This window comes from Homo sapiens, chromosome 10, assembly GCF_000001405.40.
Source record: "Homo sapiens chromosome 10, GRCh38.p14 Primary Assembly".
Taxonomy (NCBI): domain Eukaryota; kingdom Metazoa; phylum Chordata; class Mammalia; order Primates; family Hominidae; genus Homo; species Homo sapiens.
The window spans coordinates 14855384-14864316 of NC_000010.11; the positions used below are offsets into that span (position 1 = coordinate 14855384).

The following is an 8933-nucleotide window of genomic DNA, read 5'->3' on the forward strand; positions in this document are numbered from 1 at the left end:
GTCCAACATGGTCTCAAACTGTCAAGGAAAATTATTAGAAATAATGTTTAAAACTTTAACATATAAAAATGGCAGAAACTTTCAAATGATGGTTTGATTAGGGTCAGTAGGTTTATTGTTGGGAATGCTATATGGGTATGTGTTTTTAGATTTGTTATTTTTTGGAAGCTTATAAGTAGACCATAAGCAAGATGGGCTTTCACTTGAATTTGATATTATCTTCATATATATGTAGGTGAATGACCTAGACTCTCCTGTCTCCATGATATTGCATCACTCTTACTTAATACCTTATTCTTATGGTAAACCTGTCATTCAGAGAACTATCATATTAAGTTTTGGCATTACTCTTCACAAGAAAAAGAAAAGTGATATTTGTTTGATTGTACTGAGCCCCGTTTTATCTTTCTCTTGTCCCTGTGTCTGTGTGTTTCTGTGTGTGTGTATGTGTGTACAGAGCAAGATTTGAACTTCTTTGTTCTCCACTTTTTAATAAGTGTATAGAAGCAATCAGAGGACTCTTAGATCAAAATGGATTTACAGCAGATGATATCAACAAGGTAATGCTTTTACATTTTTCTTAACTATTTTAGGTGTAGTTTCAGACTTGGAATTTAGGAAATAGCTCTGGGTACTGAAAGAATATTTTAATGCATTTAAGAATTTTCTTAGATTGTGTTAATGAATAAGGAAAAATTGATGAAATTTTGATTAATGGCTCTGGTGAACTCATTTGTATATATTCAGTTTCCTAGCAAAACAGAATAATTCCTTTCCAGTATATTTTTTATCTGTAAGCATAGACAGAAAGATATTTGAATACTTGCTATGTGCCAGGCACTTTTTCCAAGAGTTTTACACATATTAACTTGTTGAATACTCACAATAACTCTGAGGTAGGCACTACTATTTATCCCCAAGGTAAGCACTATTATTTATCCTAGTTTTGTACGTGAAGGCACCAAGGTACAGAGATTAAGTAGCTTCCTCAAGATCACACGGTAAGTAGTAGAGCCAAGATTTAACCCAGTATTGTTCCTGTGTCTCCTCATAACTAGTATACCAGGCTGCTTCCCGTTCCTTGCTTAGGAACATATTTTTAGACTTTCAAAAAAATTCAAATGTTTAGTATTTTCTTTTTTTTCCCCAAAATTATTTCTCTTCATTGAACATACTCTTTTTATACATTTAAAATGAGCCAGGTGCGATGGCTCAAGCCTGTAATGCCAACACTTTGGGAGGTCAAGGAGGGAGGACTGCTTGAGCCCAGGAGTAGAAGACTAGCCTTGGCAACATAGTGAGACCCTGTCTCTACAAAAAACAAAATTAGCGGGGTGTGATGATGTGCGTCTGTGGTCTCAGCTTCTTGGGAGGCTGAGGTGAGAAGATCACTTGGGCCCAGGGGGTCAGGGCTGCAGTGAGCCGTGATTCGTACCACTGCACTCCAGCCTGGGGACAGAGCAAGACCCCATCTCACAAATAAAATAAAAATAAAATGTATATGATTTTTAAAATTTTCATTATTGAAGTAGTAAGTATTCATGTAAGAAAATTCAAAATACCAAAAGGCAGCTGTATTTCTAACTTGTATAATTTGTATGCATAGGTTTGTTTGCTAGCTATAGTTTTGTGAGTTTTTTTAATAACAGTTCTAATTCTGTATGTACAGTTTTGAATTTTGCCTAATTTATATAATATAACCAATTTCCCCCCATATTACTATAGTCTTTTTAAACATAATTTGAAATAGATTGCTAATGTCCTAAAAAGGAAACGCACTGTCAGTTTTTCACTGTGGTCCTGTTGTAGACACATAGGTTGGGTTTTTTCCTCCCCTGTAAGAGAATGATGCCTGTCTTTATACAGAGACGTTTATCATATTTAGGATTATTCCTTAGAGTAGATTGCCAAAGTAAAATACTAGGTCAAGAATAAAAATAGCTTAAGACTATTTTTACCTCAAGTTACTTTCCAAAAGAATTGAATTAACTAATATTCCCATCAGCAATATATAAAAGTATACATTTTACTATAGCCTTGTCGACACTGAGTTATAGCATTTAAAGATAAATTTCCAATTGACTGTTGAAAAAAGATCTTTTCACTTTATATTTCATTGGTTACTAGAGGATTTTTTTAAATGTTTATTTAATTTTGTTTCTCCTTGTGTGTAAATTTTTATCTCATATTATTTGCCCATTTAATCATTTAAATCTTTTTTTTAAACTTGTGCAAATATTTTACATAATCGGAATATTAGCTATCATGCACAGCAGTCTTCCTTTGAGGCATTTACTTCACTATTTGGTTTTGGTCCTGCTAGGGAGGAGGGTGTTTGACTTACTCTTGATCTTTGACTCTGTTTCCTCCAGCTGCTTTGCTTGGATGTATGGCAAATATGAAATATACTTTTCTTTTAACTTGTCTATACTTTGACAGTTTTATGTTTTTAGTTTTTTTGATGTCTGCTATGTTGTGACAAATTTTTTTTGCAGTTTAGTTCAATAAGTATATATTTTGTTTTTTTTTTTAACACTTACAGTGTGGCAGGCATTTTGCTAGGTGTTTGAAGGCTGGGAGGCGGATTGTGAAGGATGAGGCATGTTGTATGATGGTAGTAAAACAGTGGTGGAAGGTGCATGGGCTTGGAGACAGACCCACCTAAACATGAAGCCTCATGGTTCTAATAGTTCTAGACTGGGCAAAATGCTTCATTTCCTGACACTTTCTCTTGTTATGAAAGTGATAATACTTACCTTACAAGTAAGTATTGTAAGTATAAGTTACTCTATAGGGTTGCTACAAGGGTTAAATGAAATGTCTGTGGCACAGCCTGTTGCATATCGTGACAAATAAGCATCAGTTCCCTTTCTTAACCAACCGGTCATGAAGCCCCCTCATTTCATTATCTCTCACAGTCCAATTCTCAGTTGCTTGAGTTGAGGCGGAATAGTTTTAGGTTTGAAATTTTTGTTAGAGATTCCCTCTTCAGATGTTTCTAAGACACAGGCTTTTGAGAACTTAATAATAAGAAATTGTCTTCTTAGTGTGTTGACCTTGGTACAGTAAGAAAATACCCTCAACTCTTCAGCGGTTTTCTGCAACACTTAGGTTACAGGTGGGCAGCTGCAGGTGGCTGCAGGTCCACTGCTGGGGCTCTTTTCCACTTCCTGTTCTAGGACCCAGGCCACAGGAGCAGCTGCCTGGGCCTTCGATTAGATAGGTGCATGTCAGTGCATTCACATTCAGTGTCACAGTGGGTATGACAGAGGGGCAGAGAGATATACCCCACCTACCAAGTTGTGGGAGTGAGTGGGATGGGTAATCCTCTTACGGGGAACGGGGAGTGAATGATAGGGATTTACATGTATTAAAACATTTAATCCTCACACAAGCTCCAGGAAGTAGGCGCTTCTATCTTCATTTTCAGATGAGGAAACTAAGAGGTTTCCAGAGAGGTGAAGTAATTTGTCCTGCAGTCATGAGGCTGGCACTTACATGATGAGGCAAGGACCAGAACTCAGGCTGCCTGTCTCCATCACCTGTGCTCTTCATGCTTGTGACCGTTGCCTTCTCATTTTAGTACCTGGGGTTCTAGTATGAGGAGAGTTTGGCTTTTTTTGGAAGAAATTCTCTCATCTCTTGCTTGAGGGGGACAGGTTTCTGGCCTGAGAGCAGAGAGCTTCAGGGTTCCTACTCTTGAATGTGCAGACTTTTCCCTTCTTCCCCCTTGTTTTCAGCACCATGCCCCACCCTGGTTCGTGCTGTATCTTTGTATCAAAGTTCTATCACTATGTGTTGACGACCTCCCTCCCTGATGTGGGAGAAGGTGCAGGTGGCCACCTGTTTAGGTGAGGGAGAAGCTGGGGGTGGGGGCAGGTGCAGCCACTCCACACGTGTGCTTTCCAGCCCTTGTGTTTTCACTTCTGTGCTTCACCCTCGCTTTCTGTGGTGTTTGGTACCTGGAATCCTATGCATCAGACCACCCTGCCTCTTTTCGGCTATCTCAAACTTCATCTGATTTACCTCTTTCCAGCTTCCAAAATTTGTTGACATCTCAAACTCAAGATTTCTCTTCCATTTATTTTGCCTTTCTATCTTTACCTTCTGAAATCCCTTTGTTGTCAGCTTAGTGGGCTTTTGTGAAAGGGAGCTTAGATAAATGAATATGGTTAATCCCTGTGTTTTAGCCAAGTTCCTGGGTTCTGTAGCTGCAATTTTAATAGCTCCATAGTATTTCATTGCATTGATGTACCGTCCTTCATAACACCCCTTCTGTATATTGGATGTGTATGTTATACAACAGTCTTTGTAACTTGGTGGATGTCCTCAATTTCCTTAGGATAAAATTCAGGAGTAAATCCTAGATTTTAAGACTTTTAGTATTTGTTATCAAATTGCTCACCAAAAAGCAACTTACTTTCTGAGTAGATGTAAACCTTAATTGTTAACATTGCAATTTTAAAGTTCTCTTTGTTTACAGTTCTTTTTTCAGAGAGCTTTAGAATTATTTTTTTCAACTTACATAAAGTCTCATTTTTTGACACAGTTGCATTGTCTATAAATAACTTGGGATGATGTAATAACTTATAGTATTTAGTTTCCTAATCACAAAGTTGGTATCTGTTCAAATCTTCTTTAATACTTCCTTGTTTTCTTAATATTTACTGTTAAATTATTGCTGAGTGCTATGGGATTATTGCTCTTGTGAATGAGATAATACTTTAGTTTTCTTATTTGTTTTTGCTGATAAATGAGATACCTGGTGATTTTGCTTATTTATCTTACATTTTGTCACTTTGTAAACTCTTTGGATTACTGATTTTTAATGGAGTCTTCTGAATTTCCTAGGCATACATTCAAACTTATTTACTGATTAACCCACAAATAATTATTGAGCACACCTATTCTACGCTAGGCAGATTCTAGACACCTGGGATACAGTAGTAGCTATGGCAAAGTCTTTGCCTTCATAGAACGAACAATATAGTGAGGATATACAGGTAATATGAAACAGATAAAATAATGCCCAATTGTGATAAATCTTATGAAGAAAATTAAGCAGGATAAGGGCCTAGCTAGTGACAGAGGGTGATTTTTCAGGTCAGAGTCCCCTCTGAGGAAGTGGCTTTTGATCAGAGTCCTGAATGAAGTGAAGTGATAGAACAAGCCATGTGAATATCTACCAGTGTCCCAGGCAGAGGAACAGCAGGTAAGAGTGTGAGTGGTGCCTGAGGAGCAGCAGGGAGGGTAACAGGGGCCGAACTGAGTGAGCCAGGGAGACGGTGGACAGAGGTGAGCTTGGCAAGGAAACTAGGGCCCAGATCCCCAGAAGGAGTGCTCAGGCCTCAGTGTGAAGAGTTCGCTGTAGATCGATGTAGGGGTCTGGATTTGGGGAGAGGGGTCTGGGCTGGAGACATGTTTGTCCACACATGTACTCTTTAAAGCCATGAAACTGGACAGGTGTACCCATGGGGGAAGCAGAGCCACAATACAGAAGAGATCCCAGGATGGGATCTTGGGACATTTGCAAGCTAGAAGGGCATCTGGCACCGGACCAGCCAGTGAGAAGGAAGAGAACCAGGAAGGCAGGCAAAAACATATCCTTAAGGAAGGGAGAGAGCAGCTGCCCTGTGATGCCAGAGGTATAGTAGGGTGAGGCTTAACCTCCTTGAGGATTGACCCTTGGACTTGGCAATGTGGAATGGCTTGTCAGAGCAATTGTAGGGGAGCTGTGGAGATAAATGCCTTACTGGAGCAGGTTTAATATTGAATTGATGGTGAGGTGTTGGAGACAAGTATAGACAACTCTCAAGTTGTGTTACAAGGGCAATAGGAAAATGGGGTGGTTGAGGGTGCTGGGAGAAGATGTATCTGTAAGTGGGGAGACATTTCTCTAAGATGTGTCCCTTTTGTTTGAGACTCTGTCCAAAAACAAATGTAAGTTCTGATCATAGCAATCAAATATAAAACAAACAGAAGCCCAGGCTGGAATGCTGTGGCTCAATGTTACATCACTGCAACCCCTGTCTCCCAGGCTCAAGCGACCCTCCCGCCTCAGCCTCCTGAGTAGCTGGGACTACAGGTGTGTGCCTTTTTGTATTTTTTGTAGAGATGGGGTCTCTGTATGTTGTCTAGGCTGGTCTCAAACTCCTGGGCTCAAGCAGTCCACCCATCTCAGCCTCCCAAAGTGCTAGGATTACAGGCATGAGCCACTGTGCCTGGCCAGAACTTAAATATTTTTGTGAATGCTGGATTCCTTCTTTTGTTCCTTTTATTAGGGGAATACTGTGAGACTTTTACCAACAAACATTGGTTACTGGTAATTGGTTTGAAATAGATTTTATCAGCCAGGCTCGGTAGCTCACACCTGTAACCCCAGCACATTGGGAGGCCAAGGTGGGCAGATCACAAGGTCAAGAGATCTAGACCATCATGGCCAACATGGTGAAACACCGTCTCTACTAAAACTACACAAATTAGCTGGGCGTGATGGTGCGCGCCTGTAGTCCCAGCTACTTGGGAGGCTGAGGCAGGAGAACCGCTTGAACCCGGGAGGTGGAGGTTGCAGTGAGCCGAGATCACGCCATTGCACTCCAGCCTGGCAACAGAGTGAGACTCTGTCTCAAAAAAAAAAAAGAAATAGATTTTTTTTTTTTTTTTGAGACAGTCTAGCTGTGTCACCCAGGTTGGAGTGCAGTGGCACGATCTCGGCTCACTGTAAGCTCTGCCTGCCGTGTTCACGCCATTCTCCTGCCTCAGCCTCCCCAGTAGCTGGGACTAACAGGCGCCTGCCACCACACCCGGCTAATTTTTTTGTATTTTTAGTAGAGATGGGGTTTCACCGTGTTAGCCAGCATGGTCTCAATCTCCTGACCTCGTGATCCGCCTGCCTCGGCCTCCCAAAGTGCTGGGATGACAGGCGTGAGCCACAGCACCCAGCCCCAAGAAAATAGATTTTATCATATTGAGAAAGCTCTTTCTTTTCTTTTCTTTTTTTTTTTTTTTTGAGACGGAGTGTCGTTCTGTCGCCCAGGCTGGAGTGCAGTGACACGATCTCAGCTCACTGCAAGCTCCGCCTCCCAGGTTCACGCTATTCTCCTGCCTCAGCCTCCCGAGTAGCTGGGACGACAGGCGCCCGCCACCACGCCTGGCTAATTTTTTTGTATTTTTAGTAGAGACAGGGTTTCACTGTGTTATCCAGGATGGTCTCAATCTCCTGACCTTGTAATCCGCCCACCTCGGCCTCCCAAAGTATTGGGATTGCAGGCATGAGCCACTGTGCCTGGCCTTCTTTCTTTTCTTTTTTGACAGGTTCTCACTCTGTCATCTGTCATCCAGGCTGGAGTGTAGTGGCACAATCATGGCTCACTGCAGCCTCGAACTCCCAGGCTCAGGTGATCCTCCTACCTCAGCCTCCCAAGTAGCTGGGACCACAGGCACATGCCACCACACCCACCTGGATAATTTTTGTATTTTTTGTGAAGATGGAGTTTCACCATGTCGCCCAGGCTAGTCTTGAACTCCTAGGCTCAAGAGATCCGCCCACCTCAGCCTCCCAAAGTGCTGGGATTACAGGTGTGAGCCACTGCGCTTGGCCTTTTCTATTTTTAAAGGCGTTTTAATATGAAGTGGGTGTTGTATTTTTACATATGTATTTTTGGACACCAGTGAGATGATCTTATGACGTTGTTTTTATGTATCTTAAAGCTATATAATGAATTAATAATTTCCTAATATGGAACTATCATTGTATACCTGGGATATAACTTACTTGGTTATGAGGAGGTATTCTTTTTTTCTGCAATAATTTATAATTTTTATATTATTTATGCTAACTGAGCATGAAAGATTAGATGGACCATTTCAGACTTCTCTACCTGACCTATATCGTCTGAACAAACTGACCCCTTTTAACATAAACACTGAAAAGGGGAGCAGTCCTAGTTTTTGCTGGCATTGGTCTTAAAGGAGTGCCTTAGCTACTTGGCTCCAACTCATCCTCTCATCTCTGGATGAGGAGCTGTCAGTGGCCTCTTCAGGACCACTGATTATCAGTAGGTCCCAAGTCGTCTCTATGGGGAATCAGAGGCATATGATTATCAGGCATCATCTGAACAAGGTGTCTATCATAAACTGAGTGTAACAGTCCTGTCCCCTAACCCAGGCTTAGTCCTTTTCTAATGTTTCCTCTCCCCACCTCCCTTCTTCTTGTGTCCACAGAGCATGACTTGCTCTTAATAACCTCTTCTAAGGTTGTGACATTATAAGCAGAGGCAGCTGTGTCTGCTGCTTCTCCCCACCCTCCTCTTCTTTTTTGCCTTCTCTGCCTCTCTCACTCTTACCCTCTTTAACAACTCCTGAGATGCACTCAAAGAAATAGGGAGTTTAATCCATTTTGACTCAGGTGCTTGAACTCACTTAGAAGGCCTTAGAGATGAGACATCTCAGGAAGTAATTAAGGTTAATTGGAGTTACAGGGGTGGGCCCTGATCTGATAGAATTATTGTTGTCATGAGAAGAAAGCTGGCTCTTAACCACCCTCCCTCCCCCTCCCACCAAAATGTACCAAAAAAGAGGTTGTGTAAGGACACAGTGAGATGGTGGCCACCTACAAGCCACGAAAAGAGACCTCAGAATGGCCTGTGTTGCTGGCACCTTAATCTTGGATTTCCCAAAACAAAGTTGGCTGGGTATGGTGACACACCCCTGTAGTCCCAGCTACTCGGGAGACTGAAGCAGGAGGATCACTGGAGCATCGCTGGAGCCCAGGAATTTGAGGCTGCAGTGAGCTATGACTGTACCACTGCAACTCCAGCCCGGGTGACAGGGCAAGACTCTGTCTCCGGAAAAAAAAAAAAAAAAAGTCAATATTTTCCAAGGTTGGTTTTTTTTTTTTGGTTTTCTTTGTTTTTTTGCATAGCACCACTTAC

At 41.5% G+C, this 8933-nt stretch overlaps 1 protein-coding gene across 1 annotated transcript in view; it reads left to right on the forward strand.

Annotated features, from left to right (window-relative positions):
- Positions 1 to 8933, forward strand: part of HSPA14 (heat shock protein family A (Hsp70) member 14) — a 33436-nt gene that overhangs the window by 17078 nt on the left and 7425 nt on the right. The window contains exon 10 of the mRNA NM_016299.4: positions 458 to 560. Within this exon, the coding sequence (NP_057383.2) occupies positions 458 to 560 (103 nt within the window). The remainder of the gene's footprint in view (positions 1 to 457; positions 561 to 8933) is intronic.